Source organism: Homo sapiens, chromosome 7 (assembly GCF_000001405.40).
Source record: "Homo sapiens chromosome 7, GRCh38.p14 Primary Assembly".
Taxonomy (NCBI): domain Eukaryota; kingdom Metazoa; phylum Chordata; class Mammalia; order Primates; family Hominidae; genus Homo; species Homo sapiens.
In genome coordinates, this window is record NC_000007.14 from 66,295,392 (window position 1) to 66,322,966 (window position 27,575).

Below are 27,575 nucleotides of genomic sequence, written 5' to 3' on the forward strand. Positions count from 1 at the left end.
GGCTGAGGTGAGAGGATTGCTTGAGCCCAGAATTTTGAGGTTACAGTGAGCTGAGATTGTGCCACTGCACTCCAGCCTGGGTGATGGAGCGAGATCCTGTCTCAAGAAAACAAAAACAAAAAACAAACAAACAAAAAACCTTTGAACTGCCAGCATAATTGAGGTAATTTATTTTAGATTTTTGTTGGTTTTAATAGATTTCATTGATTAATGTAATTGAACATTTTCCAGTTATTAGCTATATGTATATATTCTTTTATGAACTAAGTTTTTACTTTATTTATTTGAGACAGAGTCTTGCTCTGTTGGCACAATCTTGGCTTACTGCAACCTGTGTCTCCTGGGTTCAAGTGATGATTCTCTTGCCTCAGGTGGGATTATAGGCACATGCTACCACGCCTGGCTAATTTTTTTTAATTTTTTATTTTTAGTAAAGTTAGGGTTTCGTTGTGTTGGCCTGGCTGATCTCAAACTCCTGACCTCAAGTGATCTACCTGCCTTGGCCTCCCAAAGTGCTAGGATTACATGAGCCACTCTTTAAAGTTTTATATGTATTAAAGTTTTGTGAGCTCTTTGTAATTGGTAATTCATAGCTATCTCCTTTGCACAATAGTGAAAGGGTTTTTTATTACCAAGATACATGTACAATGCTATTTTGAGGGTTCTTAGGCAGTAGACATTATAGTTTTCCTACATGCAAATTGGCTTGGCTAGATTATCCTTTGCTTTCTTGAGTGGTGGGTTGGGAAGAATGCTATGGTTTGAATCCATGTGACTAAAGAATCTATTTCATACACACTTGTGGTTTTTGAAAGGATTTCAAAATACCCACTGAAATTAAAAAACACCCACCCTTCCCCCCCCCCTCCCCCACCGTCTCTGCCTATCTTTAAAGTGACAGATAATTTTGAGGAAGAAAAGATGAAGTGTGAACTATAGTGGTGTTTTTGGGCCTTTTGTGGTAATGCATACAAACTGACAGTCTTGTCTTGTGAGGGTAGGTTTCATAAGACCTTTTTGCAAACTAAATCCTGTGTATCTTCAAAGCTTTTTTGCCTGTAATAAGTCAGATGCTAATGTATCCAGCACTGATGATCATGAGGTTTTTGTAAAGCAGTGCTTGAAAAGAGATTGTTGACCGTTAGCTATGATATGAGATGGGCCCCAGAGAAAGAGGTGGCTGGCGAAGGTGTTTTCCTTAGTTATGGGGTGAGAGTGGGAGAAAAATAACATTTTGACTGAGAATATAGGATTTATATCTCTAAGCCTAAAAATACTGGGTTGGTTTTTTTTTTTTTTTTTTTTTGGTACAATTCTGGGTAGTCTGCAAGTAATATTGAGTCAGCACATTTTAGGGACATATTACCCAATATTGAATGGATAATCATGCTTCATGGTTACTGTGACTCACATAGTAAATTGGTAATGAAACGTTAACATATTTTATACCCTGTCCCACCATAGTCTCTAATCCTAAAATTATAGTATATTTCAGTAAATGGTGCTGTCTAGGTTACATCGTCAGCCTTCTTGCATAGATTCTTAACCTTTTAGACTTAGGAACTTATTTGAGAATTTGATGAATCCTGTGGATCCCCACCTCAGAAATACAGACACATGAATACACAGATTTCACTCACAATTTCAGTGGATACATAGATATACCAGAAGTCCATCAGATTAAGGACTCCTATTAGCCACAATTTCAGTGGATGCATGTGTGCCAGAAGCCTGACAGATTAAGGACTCCTATTTTATAGTCTCCTTGCTCAAGCTCATCCACTCATAGGGCTTTCATTACAGCCTATTTGCTGATTATCATAAATCTGTATTTCCTAGTGGGTCTCTTTCCTGAGCCCTAGGTTCATTATTTCCAACTGTCTTCTGTATGTGTCCACCGAAATGCTCTCAAGGACCTCAAATTCAAAGTCCAAAATTGAATTTATTTTCTAAACTTGTTCCCTGAGAGGCAGAAGCTAGGTGGAATTGTTCATTAAACTGAGCAGGAATCCACCTTGAGAGTGGGGATGATGCTGTGCTCATCTATACTTGCGGTACCTATGAGCCAGAGAGCAGATTTGAGGAACAGAGTCCTCAGGGCACATGGCTCAAACCCCAAAACAATTCAAGAACCTGGTTGCTAAAGTTAGAGAGCTGAAAAGCAGATCCAATTTATGAATGGAATATTTAGTTGGAAACCTGAGTAGATAGTACTGAGGAAGAGCAAGTGATCAAATGGAAAAGCATGTACCAAGGTGCAGAACCCACAGTAACAGACAAGAAGAAACATGAAAATGAAGTCAGCTGGGGGACAGGGGTTAGATTAAATCCCTAAACCAAACAACAAAAAGCTGCAGCAGCAGTTGGAATTGATATTCTTACATTAAAGGTAAAGCCTGGAATGAATGCATACTTGTGTTTTCTGGTTCCTATACTCAGCAAAAACTGCTTGTTCCTGTTTTTTTCTATCTCCATACATAGCATGCTTATTCACCCAGTTACCCAAATTAGGTCTCCTCACTTAAAATTCATGAATGACTCCACTGTTACTACAGGATAGAGTCTAGACTTCTTAGAATGACATTTACTTTTCTAGTATTTGGGTATTTTCTCATTATCTTTTTGTTGTTGATTTCTAATGTGACCATTATGGTCAGAGAACACTCATTATGGTTTGTTTCAGTCCTTTGAAATATATTGAATATTGTTTTATGGCCAGTATATGGTCTTATGTGATCAGTTGAAAAAATATGTATTCTGTGATTGTTGCAGAGTTCTGTAAATATCAGTGAGGTCAAGAAATTTTATAGTGTTGTTACAGTCTAAATCTTATTTGATTTTTTGGTCTGCTTTATTAATGTTGGGAAAATTATGAATTTTTCAAATTTTCCTTACATTTCTAGCAATTTTGTTTCATGTATTTAGGATCTATATTATTGGGAACACACCCATTTAGACCTTCTTGAAGAAGTAACTCTTTTGTAATTATGAAATATTTCTCTTTATCTCTGCTGTTACCCTCTGAAAGTCTACTTTATCTGATATGAATATAGCCACAACAGTGTTTTTATGTATACTATATACATGGTATATTTTCCCGATTCTTTTACTTTTAATCTGTGTCTTTATATAGCTGGCTTTGTTTGTTAATCCAGTTTTATAGTCTCTGCCTTTTAAATGGAGAGTTAATCCACTTACATTTAATGTAATTATTCATCTGATTGGATTTAAAACTACCATCTTGCTATTTGTTTTTTATTTGGATCATCTATTTTTGTTTCTTTGTTTCTCTTTTCCTGCCTTCTTTTGGATTAATCTTTTTTGGTATTCCATTTTATATATTATCTCCTCTTTTTAGCTATACCTCTTCTTTTTGTTTTGTTTTTGCTTATAGTGGTTACTGTAAGACATGGGCTGCACATTTTTTATATTGTAAAAATCCAGATAGTAGGCCGGGTGCAGTGGCTCACACCTGTAATCCCAGCACTTTGGGAGGCTGAGGCAGGTGGATCACAAGGTCAGGAGATCGAGACCATCCTGGCTAACATGGTGAAACCCCCGTCTCTACTAAAAATACAAAAAGAATTAGCTGGGCTTGGTTGTGGGCACCTGTAGTCCCAGCTACTTGGGAGGCTGAGGCAGGAGAATGGCATGAACCTGGGAGGTGGAGCTTGCAGTGAGCTGTGATCACTCCACTGCACTCCAGCCTGGGCAACAGAGCGAGACACCGTCTCAAAAAAAAAAAAAAATCCAGATAGTAAATATATTATGCTTTGTGGGCCACAGTTGGGCTCTTTGTTCTTTACTTGAAGATCCAGATTTTCATCTGGCATCATTTCTCTTTAGCCTGATGCACTTCCTTTAGCAGTTCTTATAGTAAAGACATGTTGACTACTAATGCTCTTAGGTTTTTTTTTTTTTTTTTAATTTGAAAATGTGTTTGTTTTTTTTTTAATTTGAGAATATTTTGCTGGACATAGAGTTCTAGGCTATTGGTCGTTTTGTATTTTTTTTAACTTTCAACATTAAAAAGATACTATTTTATTGGCTTCCCATGTTTTTGATGAAAGTCAGCTGACATTCTTATGAATGTAATTTTTTTTCTTTGACTGCTATAAGATTTTTCCCTATTTTTGGTTTTCAGCAGTTTGATTATAATATACCAAATTCGTAGCTCCGTTCTACTGCCATCTCCTGTGTGGGCCTCAGTTTTGATTAGTTTTTATTAGCCTACCTTTGAATTCATTGATCCCTTCTTTTTCTGTGTCCAGTCTGCTGTTAAACCCATCTGGTGACTTCTTCATTTCAGATCATTTATTTTTCAGTTCTAGAATTTCCCTTTCTCTGCTGGAATTCTTTGCTCTTTACCCATTCTGTTGATCTTTTCCTCTAAATTATTTAACATATTCATAATAACTTTTAAAGTCTTCATCCACGGATCTCTCCCTGTTGACTTTGTTTCTTTATTATGGGTTATAGGCACACCTTGGAGAGACTGTGGGTTTGGTTCCAGACCACCAAAATAAAGTGAATATCCCAATAAAGCAAGTCACACATAATTTGGTTTCCCAGTACATATAAAAGTTATACACTACATTGTAGTCTGTTCAGTCTGTAGTAGCATTGTGTCAAAAGAAAACACAATGCATATGCCTTAATTTAAAATACTTTATTGCTAAAAAAAAAATGCTAGCAATCATCCAAGCCTTCAGCAAGTCATAATCATTTTGCTGGTGGAGACTCTTACCTCCATGTTGATGACTGCTAGACCATTCAGGGTGGTGGTTGCTAAAGATTGGGGTGACTATAGCAATTTGTTTTGTTATGTAATATTCTATATCCTTTGCTGTCTTTTCAACAATATTCACAGCATCTTCACCAGGAGTAGATTCCATCTCAAGAACCACTTTCTCTGCTCATTCTTAAGAAGCAACTCATTCATTCAAGTTCAATCATAAGATTGTAGCAATTCAACCACATCTTCAGGCTCACTTCTAGTTATAGTTCTTTTGCTATTTCTACCACATCTGCAGTTCCTTCCTCCACTGAAGTCTTGAACCTCTCAATGTCATCTGTCTGATTCTTCCAAATTCCTGTTAACATTGAAATTTTGACCTCCTCCCATGAATTACGAATGTTCTTAATGGCATCTAAAATGATGAACCCTTTCCAGAAGGTTTGCAGTTGACTTTGTGCAAATCCATCAGAGGAGTTGGTATCTATGGCAGCTATAGTCTTAAGAAATGTATTTCTTAAATAATAATCTTGACAGGGCCAGGTGCAGTGTCTTAAACCTGTAATCCCAGCACTTTGGGAGGCCAAGGTGGATGGATCACCTGAGGTCAGGAGTTCAAGACCAGCCTGGCCAACATGGCGAAACTCCATCTCTACTAAAAATACAAAAATTAGCTGGGTGTGGTGGCGCATGTGTGTAATCCCAGCCACTCAAGAGGCTGAGGCAAGAGAATCGCTTGAACCGGGGAGGGAGAGGTTGCAGTGAGCCAAGATTATGCCACTGCACTCCAGCCTGGGTGACAGAGCGAGACTCCATCTCAAAAAAAAAAACAAAAAACAAAACCAACTTGACAGTAGAAATTACTCCTTGATCCATGGACTACAGAATGGATACTGTGTTAGCAAGCATGAAAACAGCATTCATCTCCTTGTATATCTCTATCAGAACTCATGGGTGACAAGGTGCATTGTCAACGAGCAATAGTATTTTGTGAGAAATCTTTTTTCCTAAGCAATAGGTCTCAACAGTGGGCTGAAAATTGCATTTTTATGTTATGGAGATAGCTTCTTTCCTTAATCTTCATAAACAAACAACCTCTACTAGCCTCCAACTTTTCCTCTCACAGCCTTTATAAAATTGAAGAGAATTAGGGCCTTGCTCTGGATTAGGCTTTGGCTTAAGGGAATGTCATGGCTGGCTTTATCTGTCTAGTCCACTAAAACTTTTGCCATGTCTACAGTAAGACTCTCACTTTCTTACCACTTGTGTGTTCATTGGAGTAGCACTTGAATTTACTTCAAGAACTTTTCCTTTGTATTCACAACTTGACTATTTGATGGAAGAGGCCTGGCTTTCAGCTTATCTTGGCTTTCAACATACCTTCCTCACTAAGCTTGATTGTTTCTAGCTTCTGACTTAAAGTGAGAGATATGCGACTATTCCTTTCATTTGGACACTTAGAGCCCATTGTTGGATTATTAATCGGCCTTTTTTCAATATCAATGTGTCACAGGAACAGGGAGGCCCAAGGAGAGGGAGAGAGATGGGGGAACAAACAGCCAGTTGGTGTAGCAGTCAGAACATACACAACATTGATTAAGTTAATTATGTTATATGGGCTTAGGATCGTGGCACCCCAAAACAATTACATGGTAACATCAAAGATCTCTGATCGCACATCACCGTAACAGATACAATAATGAAGAAGCTTCAAATATTGCAAGAATTACCACAGTGTCATAAAGAGACATGAAGGGAGTGCATGTTGTTGGAAAAATGTCACCAACAGACTTGCTCACCACAGGATTACCACACACCTTCAATTTGTAAAAAACACAACATCTGCAAAGCACAATGAAATGAGGTATGCCTGTACTCATTTGCTTCTTCACATGTCTTAGAAGTTTTAACTGCATACTGGACCTTTTGTATAACAGAGGGGTAGAGAATGAACTAGGTAATACTTTTTGTTTTATTTTTGTTAAAGAGAGCAGTTCTTTCCTCCAGCAGGTAGCTAAGGTGATCACTCAAATTTGACAGTGAATCAAGCTGAGCTGGGGCTGAGCAGTAGCTTTAATTGATTTCAGTTTGCCTCTGGATTCAAATGAGATTAAGGAAATTTGACTTTTAGCCCAACCTTAGCTTTCTATATCATTTAGACGAGGGGTTCATTTCTTTGATTTTAGCAAGATTGCAGCTGGGAGGCAGTTGGGTTGAAGATTAAATTAATTTACTTTACCTCTGGATTGCAACTATAGCAGGGCCCTGGAACCCAAGCACCACACAGCATTGGGAGATCTCTTTCTGTCTCTCACTGTGCTCCCACCAGCACTTACTAAGATTCTCTTGTAGTATTACATGTAATTGTCAGGTCAAGAGATTTGTTTTTACACTTGGGACTCTTTCAGATTCTAATTAATCATACCAGTCCACAGTCTCACTAAAAGTTTGGCTTGTTTCAGCAAAATCTTTCCACCTATGGGAGACCTCCTTTTCTGCCCACTTGTACCCAGACAGGCAATTGATTCAAGGTAGCTAGAAACAGGCTTTTGTTTCTCTGTGAAGAACTCATCCTTCTCCAGAAATTGGCTCAGTTAGACTTCTTGGCATTCATTTACTGCTTTTTCATGGCTTTACAGAAAAGTATGAAGTTTAGTTTATCTGGTGTTTTCTTGTTTTGATGAGAGCAGTGGTCTTTTGGGATCAGCTGCATTCAAACCAGGTTGGAATGCTTTAGAATGATGGCATTAAGATTCTTTGCCTTCTGCTTTCAACCTTCCTTTTCAACCTCATCTCTTTTTATTCTTTTAACCACACCACAGTGCCTCCCTTTCATTCCCACAGCACATTGTATACCTCCATACCTTTGTTCCTTCTGCCTTGATTGTCCTTCTTCTCATCTTACAACTTTGTCCTTTAAAACTCAACTCACATGACACCTCTTCTGTGCCACAGATCCTCCTGCTACAATGTACCTACCTTTACTTGTGTACTTTCACATTATATTGTGATGATTTATATTATATGCTGCTGCTTTTAAACTAAGGACATGCCAGACATGCCTTCATCTGAAAATGTTAATATAGTTCAAAGTGTTGCTATAGTCTTTGTTTAGTTAAAGTAACAACTTTCTGGTCTGAAAAAAAAAAGACTATGCATCCCTTCAACAGAATAAGATAGTTTTAAAAGTAATGATATGGGAGCATCTCTTAAGATATGGTCAGTGTTATGTTTTACCATTTGTATTTAGAAAAACAGCTGTGTGTGTATGTATGTATGTATGTATGTATTAATTTATTTTGAAACGGAGTCTCATTCTGTCACCCAGGCTGGAGTTCAGTGGTGCGATCTCTGCTCACTGCAACCCCCGCCTCCTGGGTTCAAGCAATTCTCCCACCTCAGCCCCTAGAGTAGCTGGTGTTACAGGTGCATGCCACCATGCCTGGCTAATTTTTATATTTTTAGTAGTGACAGGGTTTCACCAAGTTGCCCAGGCTGGTCTGAAGCTGCTGACCTCAGGCGATCTGCTCACCTTGGCCTCTCAAAGTGCTGGGATTACAGGCGTGAGTCACTGCACCTGGCTTGTATATGTAGTTTTTTAAAAAAATAAATAAGTAAAGACTTTTCAAGGACAAAGATATCATTTGCATTTTGTAGCCTGAGTGCCAGTAATACTTGACAATTACTTGATGCTCAATAAAATGATTCTTATTAGCAAAATAAACCTTACACGTAGAAAAAGAATATGCCAGGAACCAAGAAAAGGGATATTCAGATATGAGGCTCTTGGAGTTACGGCTCAGCTCACAAGGATTCTGCCGTAGGTGAGAAATGCTCCATTACCCAGAGGCAAAGCCCCAGAGGTTGTGGCAGCACTTTATGACTATGTATCAGTCTGGGCTCAGTCAGGGAAACATTGAGCCACTGTTAAGTGTTATAGGAGTGAGGGGTTTAATATAGTAATTAAGGCCTGTGCAAATATGGGAGGACTAGAGAAGTGAAGGTCTGCACGTTTTTTATTGTATACTGGACACGTTGTTTACAATAGGAGTAGGGAATGAGCTGGATACAGCTACAGTTGGAAGACCAGAGGAATAGGCACTGATGACTGAAACCTGCAGCTCTAGAGAGGGCAGAGAAGTGCTAGGAAACTGCCTCTCGCTGCCAAAGTAGGACTCAGTGTGGGATCCCAAGGAAAGGTCTGTGAAGACTGCCACGGGGATAAAGTGGAGCTTTAGGAGAGGCCAGTGGAGCGACTGCATCTGACTGCCCTGACCTCTTAAAAATAATGGCTTCTACTTCATTTCCACCTTCTAAAACTCACAGAAGCCTCTGACCCAGAACCACACAGGGAAAGGAATTCTGGGAGACTTAATTTTCTGTCCTAGACAACAGTGGTGGTGGTGCCAGTTGACCATCCAGCATAGGCCATTCCTTTGCCAGCCTGGCTTACATACACACCTACTTAAACCATATTTAACTGCCAGATAAAGCTAAATGCTCTGCTTAACATGTTGTAACTATCGCTTAGCAAACTGAAAACATGCTAAGCACTCCCTCAAAGAGGAGATGCTGTATTTCATATTGTGCTTTGTACATTTCTGGCTGATATGAATGTATTCCACTAGCTGAGTCACATCCCCTCTTTGATATCCTAAAACTTACATATACTGAGATACAGAGTTAGCCATTTCCTTTTTTTTTTTTTCTTGGCAAGGTCTTGTTCTGTCACCCAGGCTGCAGTGCAGTGGCGCCATCATAGCTCACTGCATCCAGAATCTCCTGGGCCCAAGCGATCCGCCTGCCTTAGCTTCTTGACTATAGGTGTGCACCACCACACCTAGCTAAATTTTTTTTATTTTTAACTTTTTGTAGAGACAAGAGGTATCACTGTGTTGCCCAGGCTGCTCTTGAACTCCTGGCCTCAAGCAATCCTGTTGCCTTAGCCTCTCAACGTGTTAGGATTATAGGCATGAACCACCGTGCCCAGCCAGAGTCAATACACCTTATATTAGAGAGTATTATTAGACAGGGAAAAGTGGAAAAAAGAATTCGTTAATATATTCAGTATATATTCATATCAAAGCAAAGAAGAATATCTGCCAAACTATTGTAGTTCTCATTTTCTGTACCTTTCATGTGATCATGGCAGGTATCTGTCATTTCTTTCTTCCTCTAGCCATTCCATGTTCCTTTGGTCCTCAGTAGTCACCTCAGATGGTCTTTGTTCTTTGCCTGGTGGGGTGGCCTAAACCTTCATTCTGGGGTGTATGTACCAATAAATGGCCATATTGTTTTGCTCTAATATCCCGTTAACTTTCCATAATAAACAAGTGTAATAGAAAATCCTAGGTTCCAGGCAATTTCTTTCCTTCTTCCATTGAGTATTTTTTTCCCATTGTGTATTTTAAACTTGGTTCTTCCTTGATAATCGGGATCAATCAGCCTAGCTATTATAGTACCTGCCTTACTTGTCTTTGGCTAAGTGGCATGAGGAGCAAGAAGTGCTGAGTTAACAGTCTCAGCTCTCTGTTCAGTGGAAATAATGTTGTGTCTCCCCCAAAGAAGCACTTCTCCCTTGAGGATTAAGACCTGTAAACTGGGAGAGCCCACAGCTGCTGCGAGTTTTCTTTTGGGGAAGGATTTTGATAATATTTAGTGAATATAGGGCTATTTCGATTTTCTTGTTCTTGTATCAATTTTGATAAATTGTATTTTTTAAAGTAATTTGGCCATTTCACTTAAGTTGTCAAATTTGTTGGCAGGAAGCTGCAGTATTTTCTTAGAGTCCTTCTAATCTTTGTCAAATTGATAGTGATAACTTTTCTATTCCTCATGTGATGACCCCTTGATTCCGCCTCTGTCCACACCTGTTAGTGATTCCCTCCACCTGAATGTGGACAGGACCTGTGACTTGCTTGGAACGAATAGAATACAACAAAGGCGATGGGAGATATGTGATTGCATGATTATATTATATAAGATTACAGCACTGGACTGGCTGGAGTGTGCACGTCTCTCTCTCTCTCTCTCTGGACATAAAGACTGTTATCTTGTATAGACTCTGGGTTCCTTTATAATACTCTTGTGAATGCATTTACTTTTGTTTTAGCAGGCAATCAACTCAGGTAGGCTGGATTATACATTGTTTTGCCTTTTGCAGGCAGTGATTCAAATCCCAATTCAGTTATCAAAGCAAAGCCTTTGCTAAACTGGTTTGGGTTTGTCCTGTGCATGTGTGATTCAGAGGTTAAGGTGAGACCCGTGTAGGTGCATACATAAAAGTGGAGAGCTCCTTCACCTGCTGTTTCTGCTCCAGGAGTTTGCTCTGACTCCCTGTCTTTCTTTGGCTCCTTTCCCTGCTTGCTCTGACCAGAAAGAAAACAATTCCTATCAGAGTTTTAGCCACCTACGTGTGCTGCTTAGTGACTGAAGCTGTCCCACCCTCAAGGAAAAACTTGATGAGAAAAAAATAAACAAACAGAAAACTCACCCTGTAAGGTCACTTCTCCAACTTTTTACTTCCCTCCACAATCTGCCTGCTTTTATTTACTTTCCAGATCCTCATATAGTTTTTTGTTTTGTTTTGTTTTGCTGTGTTTTGAGATGGAGTTTCACTCTTGGTGCCCAGGCTGGAGTGCAGTGGCACAATCTTGTCTCACTGAAACCTCCCCCTCCCGGGTTGAAGCGACTCTTTTGCCTCAGCCTCCTGAGTAGCTTGGGATTACGGGCAGCCGCCACCATGCACGGCTAATTTTTGGTATTTTTAGTAGAGACAGGGTTTCACCATGTTGGCCAGGCTGGTCTTGAACTCCTGACCTCAGGTGTCCCACCCACTTCAGCCTCCCCACAGTGCTGGGATTACAGGTGTGAGCCACCGCGCCTGGCCCAAGGTAGTTATTTTTTAAAAGTTTGCTCAAACTTTATAGTTGTAATTAGAGGGAGGAACAACTTTATGGGATGTAGGTGGCTTAACCTCACCATAATGGAACCAAAACTCCACTTCATTCACTTTTTTTTTTTAGATGGAGTCTCGCTCTGTCTGCAGTGATGAGATCTCGGCTCACTGCAAGGTCCGCCTCCCGGGTTCATGCCATTCTCCTGCCTCAGCCTCCTGAGTAGCTGGGACTACAGGCGTCTGCCACCACGCCCGGCTAGTTTTTTTGTATTTTTAGTAGAGACGGGGTTTCACCGTGTTAGCCAGGATGGTCTCGATCTCTTGACTTCGTGATCCGCCCGCCTCGGCCTCCCAAAGTGCTGGGATTACAGGTGTGAGCCACTGCGCCCGGCCCACTTCATTCACTTTAAAATGAAGTACTTGACCAGAAGCAGTACTGTTTAGAATGCCATTATGGTGAATAAGATATTTTGTAAGGGAAAGGATGCTGGTTTTTGACAGAAATGTTGTGGGCAGAGAAGGAAATCTTCATTGAGTAAAAGCAGTGTCCTTTTTAGATGGAAGCGGTCCAGTGTGATCATCCTGCTACAGATGGCTGCCCAGACCCCCTGGGAGCAGCGCTTTATTGGGGCACCATTGTTGGCCTCTCCTGTTGGCAGGTTGGACACTTAGCCATGATTGTTGCCAGGTCAGCCTTGACAGGTGGAAGCCTGTGTCACTGAGCACATGCATGACCTTCATTCCTGTTGCTCTCACAGTAGGATATGAACTTTGTTCATTAGCGTTCTGAGCAAGGGAAACAGTGGCTGATAAAATAATGAGTCATTTTGTCCACTTGGTTATTGAGAGCCTCCTCTGCTGAGATTATACATTGGTCATCATTTACATGGGACACAAATACCCTCACACTTTGTCCTGTTTGAGAATAGTTTATTGACATAGCTCTTTTCTATATCTTACCACAAGTTTCCCAACCTTATTCTAAGTTTCTGAATTTCCAGTCAAACCATCTGCTGCTGACCACAAATCAGTGTGGATTCGTATTTATAGCCATCACTCCTTTGACACAAAATGTGCAGTCATGTACACTGCTTCGAGTGTATGATGAGCAGCCTAAGCGACTTGGGCAACTTGGTAGCCAGTGGTAAAGTGTTCAGTCCTTACTAAATCCTAGTAGCAAGCAAGGGCTCTTTCTCAAAAGGGAGAGTAATGATCTCCAGAAGTTAGCATAGCTTTGCTCTAAAATCCTAGGGTTCTATACTGTGATTTACCTCTAGGGCCTGCCATACCTCCACACATCACTCATGAAGTATCATCCTGTATCTTAAGTTTTTGTTGGCGATACTAATCTCTGCAGTTCCTCTAGGAATGCAGTATTACTTTTGGTGTAATATTTTGGTAGAGAGAGGCAGCTCTAATGTAACCCCTGAGGTATGGCTTTAGTATGCTACCCATCTCTGTTAGTCCTAGGGACACCATCACCAATCAGCCACCACCAGAGATCTCTACAGCTCACACCATTCTCTTTTCCTACTCTACCTCTGCGTGTGCTTATAAAGTATAGCCATGTGCCCATTGTTTCTGTCATGAAGCGTCACCAGTTGGCTGCTGTGACTCAGAGATCTTTTCATCCTTCCCTTGGGTTCAGGGAATCTATTTCTCTGACAGCCTTTCCCATTGTTATTTCTAGCCTGCAGCGAACAAGCACTAAAGAGCTTTTTAGGGATGTTGTTGCCCCCTTCACCAATGTATTTCTCAAAGGCTTGGTAAAGGAGTGAGTTCTCTAGACATTCCTGGGATGTAGTTAGGAGATCAGTGAACAGATCAGTCATACGTATTAAATACACCCCAGTATTCCTTATTTTCTAACCTTTTGAATAAATTTTATTTTGAGACTGAGTTTTGCTCCTGTTGCCCAAGCTGGAGTGCAATGGCACTGTCTCAGCTCATTGCAACCTCTGCCTTCCGGGTTCAAGCACTTCTCCTGCTCAGTCTCCTCAGTAGCTGGGATTACAGGTGCCCGACACCATGCCCAGCTAATTTTTGTATTTTTAGTAGAGACAGGGTTTCACCATGTTGGTCAGGCTGGTCTTGGAACTCCTGACCTCAGGTGATCCACCCACCTTGGCCTCCCAAAGTGCTGGGATTACAGGCATGAGCCACTGCACCTGGCTTGAACAACTTTTATTTACAGTATACCAAGGAGGTTCTGGCATCTAAGCTTCATTTAATGTAAGCCACTGATGGATCCAGGTTTTGGCCAACCAGGTGAGGAAATTGTTAGAGTTATTCCCTGATTACTCAAGCCAATATACTGCATCCAAAATATCTGGTTAATGTACTCATATATTGATAAATTTGACCAAGTCCAACGTTACATTCCTTCTTGTCTGGTCTAACATTCTTAGGATTCATTGCTACACACTTCCTAGGTTTCTGCAAGTACAAATGGGCAAAATCTAGCACAATGACCCTAGCCCTCTGAGGGTCACAGCAGGTTGGTTCAGGAGTAGGAACCTGACCCAACACAGGCAAATAAAGGTCTTTCCCTGGGACTGTGAAATGGTACCAAGGGAAGAAAGGTGGTTTCTCTCTGGTAGGGAGGGCCACTGGATATAAGGCACAGGAACTGTTGCTGGAAGCGTTAGACACTGCTGACTGCTTGTTCCTTTTTCCCTGTTAGTAAAGACTATTCCTTTAAAAAACCAAAAAAGGTAGATAAAAATGCCAGATATTCATTTTCCCATATACTCTTGTGGGTGGAATGACCACTTGACCATTTTTTTGTAGCCAGTGATACATAAGGAGATTTTTTTTTAACAGGGAAAAAAAGAGCTTACAAATTTTATGTGCACATGTGTGCATGGGAGTTATACAATTCTTTTAAAAAAAAAACTCAAATGGCTAGATGATTGACACTTTTGTACCACCCTGAGATACAGAAAGAATAGGGGCTTGGATCATGGCCAAACAAGTTATGGTGGCAAAACAGGTTATGGGAGGAAGAGAAGACCACCTTTGCCTGGCTAGCAAAGGTAGTCTTGAACTCTCACAGGCAGCAGCCCTCAGAAAGAATGGATAGTAGCCAGTGATAAATGTTTCTAGCAGACCTTTAAAGGTGTTAGACTCTCAGTTAATCATTCTTAGGTCTGGATAAGGAGATGTTTGCTAGGGATTTTCTGGGAGAGATTTAGCTTTCTGAGAAAATAAAGAATTGTGTGAAAAGAGCTTACTCTTTCCTTCCTGCTTTTGAACATTGCTGTGAAAGAACATTATGCTTAGCCCTGCTGCAGCCACTTTGTGATCCTAAGAGAAGTTATCATCAATAACACACTGAAGGTGACAGAAGGAAGATTAGGGCAGAGGCTTCCCTTGATTTCTGGGCTTAGGACTGTCCATCCACCTCATGTCTGGACTTCTTGTTATGTGTTTGACATACTTGTACTCAGTTATTCTATTACCGTGTGTTCACTGCAAATGGGGTCGTGTTCCTCAGTGTGTAAGGGAATAAAGCCAACCCATCGAGAGAAGCAGAGCCAAAGAGGTCAAGGGAGTGTCTGGCAGGGGTTGAGGTCCTGGTTCTGGTTGCCCATGAAGATCATTTCCAGCTCTGCCCTTGCCACAGTTCCAGGAAACATTTCCCTTTTTGACTGTATTACTTGAATTGGGTTTCTGGGCTGTAGTAGGAATATTCCAACTAATACCATACTGGGTAAATTTGAAGTATGATAAATTTTAAGCTACTTCTCACTTTATTTCTTGTGCCTAAATTTGAAGAGTATTTATTTATTTATTTATTTATTTATTTATTTATGAGACAGGGTCTCGCTCTGTTGCCCAGAGTGCTCTGGAATGCAGTGGCACGATCATAGCTTACTGCAGCCTTGACTTCTTGGGCTCAGGTGATCCTCCCACCTTGGCCTCCCAAAGTTCTGGGATTATAGGCATATAGGCATGAGCCACTTTGTCTGGCCTAAATTTTAGTTAAAGAAATTCTTATCTCATTCTTTCAGAATTTTCATAGGCCTTCAAAGCAACAACCATGGAGTTAAATTCATTTCCTCAACTTGGCAGGATTTTTTTTTTCCCCTATTGAAGTATTTTGTCTTTTTTTTGTGTGTGTGTGACAGGGTTTCACTCTTCGCTCTGTTGCCCAGGCTGGAGTGCAGTGGCATGATGATAGCTCACTGTAGCCTTAAACTCCCCTGGGCTCAAGCCATCCTCCCACCTCAGCTCCCTGAGTAGCTGAGACCATAGGCATGCACCACTATGCCCAACTAATTATTGTATTTTTTGTAGAGACAAGATGTCACCATATTACCCAGGCTGGCCTCAAACTCCTGAGCTCAAGTGATTCACCTGGCCCGGCCTCCCAAAGTGCTGGGATTACAGGAGTGAGCCACTGTGCCCAGCCATTTTGTTTTATTTTGAAAGAAGGCTGAATTGATTCCTGCAGGCATTCTGTAAAGAATATATAAGGAAGTTCAAAGTAGCACATTTTACCATCTCTCAGAATACCTCAGTCTTTCTTCTGATGCATCACTTTAAGGCTTCGATTATTAAACAAGCAATTACTAAACAGTTGCTTTTTGGAATACTACCTTCTAGTGCTTCAGGAGATGCAAAGATCTGGCTTGTATCCAGGAAGAAAATACAGGTAATTGGATTGGAGAGAGAAGACATGCCATAGAAGAAAATGAAATAATAATAAGATGGGAGAAGAATTTTTACTGTGTTTTAAAGGGTTAAAAACTGTTGGAAACCTAAAAATTTGTCCACAGGACGAGGCTGAAAGTCTGAGACTACCCCACAGGAATAGCCTTGTCAAGGCCTGATTGTGCCCTTTGACTCATCCTTCAAAGTCAAACCTTTCTCATCTTCTCTCCCAGCTTTGGCACTGTCATTCCATAAGTGTATCCCAATAATTTGTGTTTTCTGCCAGAAATCCTTTTGGGGCTAATGAGTTTCATGCACTTGTATTTGCTGTGTAAAGTAGGTTTTCCTATACTTGTACTTACCAGATTAAATGTCAAAGGATCCAGCTCTTTGTTGGTTTTGTGTACAAGCACAAATTGCACTTGCTCATGCCATTCAGAATTTCGTACATTTTAGTTGTCTTTTACAACTGTAATCCCATCTGAAGGTCTATGGGAAATTCAGTTCCTTAAGAAATAGGTTCCCCTCATCCTTCTCTTTCTGCCTTCATTAGTGAGAGTACTTTTTGAGAGCAAGAGAACATTTGCAGTGAAGAGGTTTAGTTGGATAGCTATTTATACAGTTTTCCTTGGAATTTTAAAGAATGAAATAATTTCTCTTTATGTCAGCAAATGCCTATTCTGAACATTCAGAATGACTGTTCTGAACAGTAATGTTTAACTCTTAAAAAACATGGTATTTATAAATGAGAATATAATAAATCAGTATTAGAAGTCATTTTTTACCCCATGCTCTAATTCAGGAGAAAATAGGAGATACTTATAGGTTAACTTGGTGTCTGATTACCAGTGCCTGATATAATTTCTCCAATTCCCTTTTTAAAAATCTATTAAAATATCGTTAATTTAAAAAATCCCTTTAAAATGAAGATATGAAAAGCTCTATGCTAAAGAATAGGGAAATTTTCCACTAAGTCGATCATTGATTGTATTGTGGCTTTTCCTTAAACCCAAAGATTACCCAAAGATTACTGTAGAAGTGACACTACGAAAAATCAAATTAATGATAGGGAGAGTATACATTAGATGCTCTTCCAGAATGTACAGCAAAAGAACAGAGATGAAGATTGATAGATGAGAGAAAATGATACCTATGAAAGAAAAAAATAGAGATTTAACTGGTGACTAATAGATGTCTGCAAAGGAGACAACAGAAGTGGAACAAAAGCATGGATCAAATGTGTCATTGTGGAAGACTTTCCAGGGTTGAAAATGACCTGAAGAATAAAAGAGCTCACTGTATTCTAAAGAACATTATGAAAACGTGTCTGTACCTAGACATATTTTGCTGGTTTTCTTTTGATTTTAAGGATCCTGAAAAAAAAAAAAAAATCCTGCATATATCAAGGCACAAAAAAATGAGCTTTCAACAAAGAAACAAAAATGATGCTGGTAGCCAGGCGCGGTGGCTCATGCCTGTAATCCCAGCACTTTGGGTGGCCAAGGTGGGCAGATCACAAGGTTAGGAGTTTGAGACCAGCCTGGCCAACATGGTGAAACCCTGAATCTACTGAAAATACAAAAAATTAGCTGGGTGTGGTGGCATGTGCCTATAATCCCAGCTACTCGGGAGGCTGAGGCAGGAGAATCATTTGAACTCGGGAGGCGGAGGTTGCAGTGAGCCAAGATCATGCCATAACTCTCCAGCTTGGGTGACAGGGCGAGACTTGATCTCAAAAAAAATAAAATAATAAAATAAAATAAACAAATTATGCTGGCTACAAAATTTTCTTTTGCAAATACTAAATGTTGGAAAATGATGGAGCAGTGGGCAGTGATCCTTAGCTTATGTGGTCTTTGAACTCCCTGCAGTAATATTTGGACCTCTATGTCTTGATGCAAGTTGATTTTCCTGGGAATAGAATCTATATCGTTCCTCATATTTTCCAGGATTTCATGAAACAAAGAGTTAAGAACTACAGTAGTGGAGCAATATTCATGGTGCTTTTTCTTTTTCTTTTGAAATAATTAAAAACTTACAGAAAGGCTGTAAGAATAATACAGAGAAATCCTGTGTATTCTTTCCCAAATTCATGTGTTTGTCTTCTCTCTCTTTCTCTCTCCTTATAAAATATTTCAATGTTGTTAGTTATCTCAAAATGGACTTTGTAGTTTTTTTTTCCTCCCCTACCAGTACAGGTTTCAGTCTAAGATCACATCATATATATAGTTTTATATTGTTTTAGTTTTCTTTATCTGTAACAGTTTCTCAGATGCTCTCTGTCTTCCATGATACTGATATTTTTTTGAAGAATGCTGGCAGGTTATTTTACAGTGTTCCTCATTCTGGGTTTGTCTGATGTTTCCTCTTGATTATTATTCGGGTTATGCATATGAGGCCACAATACTAGGTAAATTGTGTGGTTTCATTCTCAAGGTATCCACATCTGAAGGCGTATGATGTTCATCTGTCACACCGTTGATGTTAATTTCGATCTCATGGTAAATGTGTTTTTTCGGTGTCTCCACTCTATGGTTACTTTTTTATCCCTTTCAATTAAAAAACAATCAGTGGTCGGGCACTGTGGCTCATGCCTATGATCCCAACACTTTGGGAGGCAGAGGCAGGAGGATCGCTTAAGCCCAGGAACTCAAGACCAGCCTGGGCAACATAGGGAGACCCCATCTCTACTGGACTGGTGGCATGTGCCTCTTGTCCCAGCTGCAGGAGGCTGAGGTGGGAGGATTGTCTGAGCCCAGGATGTCAAGCCTGCAGTGAGCTGAGATTGCACCACTGCACTCCAGCCTGAGTGACAGAGTGAGACCCTGTCTCAAAAATAAATAAATTAATTAAAAATAAAAACGATCAATGTGGAAAAAACTTGAAGACTGTGCAAATAGCCATATGTTGCTTAACGATGGGAATACATTGTGAAAAATGTGTTATTAGGTGATTCTGTCATTGTGCAAACACCATAGGGTGTACTTACATAAATTTAGATGGTATAGCCTGCTACATAGCTAGGCTATATGGTTTAGCCTATTGTTCTTAGGCTACAAAACTGTACAGCTTGTTACTGTACTGAATATTGTAGGCAGTTGTAACACTATGATAAGTATTATATAAACATATCTAAACATAGGAAGATACAGTAAAAATACAGAATTATAATCTTATGGGACCACTGTCATAAGTGTGGTTTATTACTGACCAAAATGTCATTATGTGGCACATGGCTGTATCTTGCTTTTCATCAGGCTTTACACTCTAGATGAGCATCCATTGATTATTCTTACCCACACCAATGGTACAGTTATGATAGTTGGAAAATGCTGCTTTTTTCCAACTCCACTACTCCCTCCATTTCATGGTATTCTAATGAATGATCATTGTCACAAAATTCAACACCTAATTGTATCTGTTATGATAATGAAAAGAAACAAATGACCCATTCAAAACAGTTCAGTTGAAAAGAGTTTATCAAAGGAATGACTTAACACGGTGTGGCCACAGTAAGGGAATCAACAAGGAATGGTGAAGCACCCAGTAACTAGCAACAGTGGGAAGCCATTGCCACCCTTAGACCTGCGGAGGCAAAGGGAGGGCACATGGTTATCAGGCTCGTGAAACTGGAATTCATAGAGGAGGAACCACCTACAGGTGCTGTGTCTCTAGAGAAAAACAGCCACTGTCAGCACAGAGGCAAGGTTGAGACAAAGCTGGGGGAATCAGCTGAGTTCTTCCTGCTGCTGCTCTGACCTGTTAGTAGTGCTCACGGTTGCCCAGTCATAAGCCAAAGGACAAGAAAGCCTGGGTGATGCAATCTGGAGAGCTTGACCTCCTGGGGCACAGAAGGTGTTGCGGGGTTGTGGGAATGGTAGTATAACCAGCACACTAGCTAAGATTTTATTAATGTGACAAGACAAGAAAAAGATCTCTGATGCGCAAGAACTGAATGGAGAGTTCAGATCATGTTCTTAGATGGGAAGATTGAATAGTATAAATATCTTGGTTCTTGCCACATGAATTTGTCTACTTAATTCCAACAGTCTAATGGAATTACGGAGGGAGTAGGGGTGATGGTGGGGTAACATTGTTAAAATGATTCTAAGTTCAATCAGGCAAGAATAACAAGAAAAAAAAATTCGGGCCAGGTGCGGTAGCACACGCCTGTAATCCCAGCACTTTGGGAGGCCAAAGCAGGCAGATCACCTGAGGTCTGGAGTTCGAGACCAGCCTGACCAACATGGAGAAACCCTGCCTCTACTAAAAATACAAAATTAGCCAGGCATGGTAGCACATGCCTGTAATCCCAGCTACTCGGGAGGCTGAGGCAGGAGAATCGCTTGAACTCAGGATGCGGAGGTTGCGGTGAGCCAAATTCATGCCATTGCACTCCAGCCTGGGCAACAAGAGTGAAACTCCATCTCAAAAAAAAAAAAAAAATTCTGATTTCACTGCGTAATTTTAAAAATAATATTTTAATTTTGTTTTGAACTAAATATTTTAAAATTATTTGTGTTCATAAATTATTTAGAATTGTTTTTAAGGGTTTTCTAAGTTACATTTTTGTTACTCCTTTCTGACTTAAATATAATATAGTTAAAGAATATTATCTAAATGATACTAATTCTGTAAAATGTTGTTGAAGCTTAATGATCTAAGACGGGTCAGTTTTTGTGAATCTTACTGTGTGTGTGTTCCTGAGAAGGATGTGTATTCACTAATTAATGGGTGCTGGGTTTTATTGGTAGGCCAGAAGTCAAACTTGACAGTTATGTAGCCCTTAATTCATGCTAATGTTTTGTATCATTGGTCTGTAAATAACTGAAAGAGCTGTGTTGAAATCTTCCACTTTGTGGATAGATTTGTTCATTTCTCTCTAAAGTTGTCAAATTTTGCTTTATTTTGAGGCTATTTTTTGAGAGCTTACAAATTTAGATTCATTAGCATTTTCTAGCAAATTGAACATTTTATTGTAACATACGGACTATCACTAAAAATGCTTTTTGTCTTACAGAGTAGAATTGCTAAATAAAATACAGGATGCTCAATTAAATTTGAATTTCAGATAAATGTTGAGTACTTTTTTAGTATAAGTATGTTCTACATATTGCAAAAATTATTCATTTTTCACAGGAACAGAAAACCAGATACCACGTGTTCTCACTTATAAGGGGGCACTAAATGATGAGAACACATGGACACATGGCGGAGAACAAGACACTGGGGTGTACTGGAGGGTGGAGGGTGGAGGAGGGAGAGGATCAGGAAACATAACTAATGGGTACTAGGCTTAATACCTGGGTGATGAAATAATCTGTACAGCAAACCCCCATGACATGAGTTTACCTATAGAACAAAACTGTACATGTTCCCCTGAACTTAAAATAAAAGTTAACAAAAAAAGTCTGGCATGGAAAGACATAAACATGCGTGGAGCTGGTTGTCTCTGATCTTGCACCACTTGTGATAAAGTTGTTTGTAGTATTTAATGAATGTGTTCAAAAATCTGTATCTTTAGTTATATGTACTTCTTGGTCCTAATATTACTGATTTGTGCTACCTATACAGTTTTGGTGGGGGGTTTGCTTATTTGGGGGATAACCTTACTACTGGTTTGTCTCTCTTATTAGTCTTTTCAAGTAATACTTTCTTTGGCTGTATTCTGTTGCTCCTTTTCTAGCTTGTTTAATTGAACATTTAATTAAATATTCATCATTCCTTTTGAAAAAATTGTTGTTTATCTGACATTCAAATTTAACTAGGCATCCTATGTTTTGTTTGTTTTTGCTAAATTTGGGAGCCTATTTAAAAACTATTTTGTTTGATACTAATATAGCTATCCCCAATATTTTTTGGTTATAATTTCCCTAGTATATCGTTTTTATAAATTTCATTCTTTGAGTCTTTGTGTTTTAATGTTTTTTTTTTAATATCCTATAGTCAGAATTGTTAGTCTAATCTTACCTATGTTGTTTTTCTAGGAAGTGTAGGGCTTTTTTATTGGGATTGCAGACCTATTGTCCCTTTTTTAAAACTATATTTTCAAATGCTTTTTATTTTTCCCACTTGTTTTGTGCTTTTGTGGACTGTTTTCTTTTTGCATGATTTTAAAAAAATTCCATGTTCTCTTACTATTATTTTAGACATTACACATATTTATTATTTTGTTAACCTTTAAATATTACTGTCAGGCCAGGCACGGTGGCTCATGCCTGTAATCCCATCACTTTGGGAGGCCAAAGCGGGTGGATCACCTGAGGTCAGGTGTTCCAGACCAGCCTGGCCAACATGGCGAAACCCCGTCTCTACTAAAAATATAAAAATTAGCCAGGCGGGGTGGCAGGCGCCTATAATCACAGCTACTGAGAAGGCTGAGTCAGGAGAATCGCTTGAACCTGGAGGCAGAGGTTACAGCGAGCCGAGATCATGCCATTGTACTCGAGCCTCGGCGACAGAGCAAGACTCTTTCTCAAAAATAAATAAATAAATAAATATATATTACTGTTCAAACTCTACTTGATAAAGTTATTTAATATTTTTAAATCCCCACACAAACATCCTAACTCTGATAACTACCCTTTTAATGCTTATGCTATTACTGTTGAATATTTAAGTTCTTTTTTTAACACTATATGTTAGACATCATCATTACTGTTACTTTATATGGACAGTATTATGTTTATGTATATGTTTACCATTTCCCATGCTCACAATTACTTCTTGCATCTAAGATCATCTTTCTCAGATTGGTTTCCTTTTTTTTCCCCCAAGTACATTCTTCAGAATTTTTTTTTTTTTTTAGACGAAGTCTCACTCTGTTGTCAGGCTGGAGTGCAGTGGCACGATCTCAGCTCACTGCAACCTCCCCCTCCTGGGTTCAAGGGATTCTCCTGCCTCAGCCTCCCGAGTAGCTCCTACTACAGGTGCCCGCCACCACGCCTGGCCAATTTTTGCATTTTTAGTAGAGATGGGGTTTCACCATGTTGCCCAGGCTGGTCTCGATCTCCTGACCATGTGACTCGCCGCCTTGGCCTCTCAAAGTGCTGGGAGTATAGGCGTGAGCCACCACGCCCAGCCTAGAAGTTTTTTTGGTAAAGGTAAATTGATGGTAGACTCAGACTTTGCATATTTGGGAATATTTTTACTTCACTCTAATTCTTGAAATGTTGTTTTGTTGAATAGACTAGGTTTATAGTAATCTTCCATCAGCACTTTGAAGATATTTTAACATTTTCTGGGCCCTAGTTTTGCAATTGAGAAGTTACTATCAGCGTAGTTGCTATTTCTTTGTGGGTGACTTTACTCTCTGATTTTTAAGGTCTTCTTTATATAACTGTATTTTCCAATTTTACTACAATATAGCTAACTGTGGCTTTTCTCATTTATTTGTTTTGTTTTGTATATTTATATGATTTCCTGTATTTTATCAGTTCTATAAAATTCTCGACCATTTTTCTTTGAATATTTCTTCTTCTCCGTTCTCTCCATTTTGTCCTTTGAACTCCAGTTATTTGAATATTAAAATGTTGCATTCTGTCCTCCAGATAGTTTAACAACTCTTTCATGTTTTCTGCCTTCTTACCTCTATCTGCTAGATAATTTCTTTAGATCAATTGTCTGATTCACTCATTCTTTCTTCATCTGTTTCATTTGCTCTTTAACGTGTCCAGTATATTTTAATTAAAAATATATATGTTGGGTTATTTTTAGCCTGCCTGCTACTTTAAAAAAATACTCTTTTGTTCCTTTTAAAACATCAAAAGTTGATCTGAAGTGTTTCAGCAGTTGAACTCCTAGGTCTTCATTGTCAGCCTGCTGTACTTGTTTTCTTCAAGAAGATAGATATCTCTAAATGTTGTCATATCCTTTTTTGTTATTGAATCAAAGTAGCTGAATTTGATAGAAGTTCAGTGTTGCATTGTCCAGATACACAGTTTTGAGGTTTGAAAGCTTGAATAAGTGCCAGTGGACTTCATGCAAATGCTTTATATATTTTTCACCTAATATATTTTGAATTTCAACAAGTAACACATTCTCTTAAATACTGACTTGATAGGCAAGTGAGCATAGCAAGCTTCATCTTTTAGTGAAAGTCCATTGATCCTGTTTCGTAATTGGATGAAGAGTGTCCAAACTATTGCCAGTAGCTTTCTGTTTTCCCATCATTTTTCAACCCAGAAATATTTATTTTTCTTTCCAGGGAGGCATTAGCAGTACCCTGGAAGCTCCCCTCCTACCCCTCCAAATTATTCCCTCCTCCTCTTTACTTTTCTCCAAAGATAATCTCTGTCCTGAATCAAAAATCGTCCCCGCTTCCTGGTAGCACCCGATCTGGAAGAAACCCAAAATCACCTAACCAAAACCTGAATCATATAATAGTCTTTTCTAATACTCTTTTACTGAGACATTCCACAATTCCCAATTATATGTGTTATTCCTTGCTGAAATGAATAATGAACCCAACATGTGCAACTACAGCTATGTTCCTGGTAACCTTTGGCTGGGAGGATTGACAATATTCATTTGTGTCTGGTTTCTTTCTTTCTTTTTTTCTTTTTCTTTTTTTTTTTTTTTTTTTTGAGACGGAGTCTTGCTCTGTCCCCCAGGCTGGAGTGCAGTGGCACAATCTCGGCTCACTGCAAGCTCCACCTCCCGGGTTCACTCCATTCTCCTGCCTCAGCCTCCCGAGTTGCTGGGACTACAGGCGCCCGCCACCATGCCTGGCTAATTTTTTGTATTTTTAGTAGAGGCGGGGTTTCACCATGTTAGCCAGGATGGTCTCGATCTCCTGACCTTGTGATCTGCCCGCCTCGGCCTCCCAAAGTGCTGGGATTACAGGCGTGAGCCACCGCGCCCAGCCTGGTTTCTTTCTTTTTAACATTTTGTAAGATTCATGTTTTTGCATGTAGTCATAGTTTTTTTTGTGTGTGTGATGGAATTTCACTCTTGTTGCCCAGGCTGGAGTGCAATGGAGTGATCTCGTCTCACCACAACCTCCGCCTCCCAGGTTCAAGCGATTCTCCTGCCTCAGCCTCCCGAGTAGCTGGTATTACAGACATGTGCCACCACGCCCGGCTAATTTTGCATTTTTAGTAGAGATGGGGCTTCACCATGTTGGTCAGGCTGGTCTCAAACTCCTGACCTCAGGTGATCTGCCCGCCTCAGCCTCCCAAAGTGCTGGGATTACAGTTGTGAGCCACCGTGCCCGGCCTTGTTCATTTTTGTTATTTAATATTATGCTATAATTACATAACTATTTGGAACTTTTTGACTCTGTTTTAATGTTGATACACAGTATCTTTGTACATATCATTTGGTGAACATGAATAATGCATTTTTGTTGGGAGTATGCCTGGGAGTTATATTGGGAGTTCCCAAGACCACTCATAGTAATCAGAAGTTATGATTATGATTATAGTTGATTACAGCAAAAGGATATGAAGTAAAAGTCAAGAAAGGGAAAAGGCACATGGGCAAAGTCTGGAAGGAACCAGCTGCTCACTTTCCAATGTGCCCTCTCAGTGGAGTCAGACAGGACATGTTTCATTTCCCCAGCAACATGTGTGACAACACACACAAAATGTTTCCAATCAAGGAAGCTCACCTGAGCTTTTGTGTCCAGAGTTTTTATTAGGGGTCAGTCATGACATAGGCATTTGGTATTACCTGCACAACTGACTTCAGGGTCAGGCTCCAGATCCCCAGAGAAAAAGCAGGTGTCAACCATAAATCACATTGTTAGCATAAACTATCTGGTTAAACCAGTACAGCATGGCCCAAGGCCTCAGACACATGAAACATTTCTTATCAGACATAAGATTCTATGATAGGAGGCAGCCAATAGCCAGTCCTGAAAACAGGCCTGTCTTGGGAATGTGCAACCAGGCCTGCTGAGTTAATAAACTTTTCCAGCAGAGATTGAAAAGGATGGGTCAAAGGATATCTGTAGGTACAAATTTGAGAGATAGTGCCAAAGAGTTTTTCAAAGTGATTATACCTGTTTACTCTCTAACCAGCAGATGTGTAAGAACTTCAGTTCTTCTACTTTGCCAATACCTTGTACAGTTTAATCTTCTAAAATTGTAATTTTCTTCCTCGTGTCTATTGATATCTCATTTTGGTTTACATTTTTATTTCCTTAGTAACTGAGACTGAGCACCTTTTCATATGTCATTGACCAGTAGCCTATGTTGTGAAGTGCCAGTTCAGGTTCTTTGCCTGGTTTTCTTTTGAATCATTTGCTTTTTTCTCATTGATTTTTAGGAATTATTTACATGTTTTGATATGTACACTTCATGTGTGTTTCAAATAACTTCTCCCATCTATCTGCCTTGCCTTTTCTCTCTCTTAAGGCTGTCTTTTGAAAAATAGAAGTTAATTTTAATGTCTAATTTTGTGATCTTTTTCTTTACTGCTTTTGGCATACCATTTAATAAATCTTTTTTCCAATTCAAGTCCTTGGATATATCCTCCTATGTTATCTAATGAAAAGTTTATTGCTTTACCTTTCTCTTTTAGATCTGTAACCTGCCTGGAATTGATTTCTTTTCATTGTGGTAAGAAACACATGACATAAAATACTCTCTTAAAGATTTACAACTGTACATCTCAGTAGTGTTAAACATATTTACAGTGTTGTAAAACAGATTCAGAAACTTTTTATCTTGAAAAACGGAAAACTTTATACTCATTAAACAATAACTCTCCATTCTTCTTCTCCCCACTCCCCTCCTTGCTGCTCCTGGCAGTCCCTATTTTACTTTTGTCTCGATTTAAGTACCTCATGTGGCATCAAATAGTATTTGTCTCTTTGTGACTGGCTTGTTTGAGTTAGCATAATGTCCTCAAGTTTCATCCATGTTACAGGATGTGACAGGACTTCCTTTTTAAGGCTGCATAGTATTTCATTGTATGTCTGTACCACATTTTGTTCATCCATTCATCTGTTGATCAATTTGGGTTGCTTCCATTTCTTGGCTATTGTGAATAGTGCTGCAGTGAACATGATGTGCAGATATCTCTTTGAGTTCTTGCTTTCAGTTATTTTGTGTATACTCAGAAGTGGAATTGCTGAATTATATGGGAGTTCTATTTTTTATTTTTTCAGGAAGCTGCCGTACTGTTACTCCATAGCAGCTGCACTATTTTACATCCCTTCCAGTAGTGCACAAAGGTTCCAGTGGTGCACAAAGGTTCCAGTTTTCCACAGCTCACCAACACTTGTTATTTTTTTTATTTTTTTATTTTTTATTTTTTTAAATAGTAGCCATTCTAATGGAT

At 39.4% G+C, this 27,575-nt stretch overlaps 1 protein-coding gene across 13 annotated transcripts in view, besides 1 other annotated feature; it reads left to right on the forward strand.

Moving 5' to 3' along the window:
• The window catches only part of TPST1 (tyrosylprotein sulfotransferase 1), a 161,654-nt gene that overhangs the window by 96,602 nt on the left and 37,477 nt on the right, over window positions 1-27,575 (forward strand). The gene's annotated exons all lie outside the window — the stretch shown is intronic.
• Window positions 19,409-20,064: an enhancer, noted in NCBI's record as "NANOG hESC enhancer chr7:65779787-65780442 (GRCh37/hg19 assembly coordinates)". NCBI's record gives its function as "activates a minimal SCP1, AML or CMV promoter by ChIP-STARR-seq in naive H9 embryonic stem cells {active_cell/tissue: H9 hESC(naive)}" and the evidence as "EXISTENCE:reporter gene assay evidence [ECO:0000049][PMID:30033119]".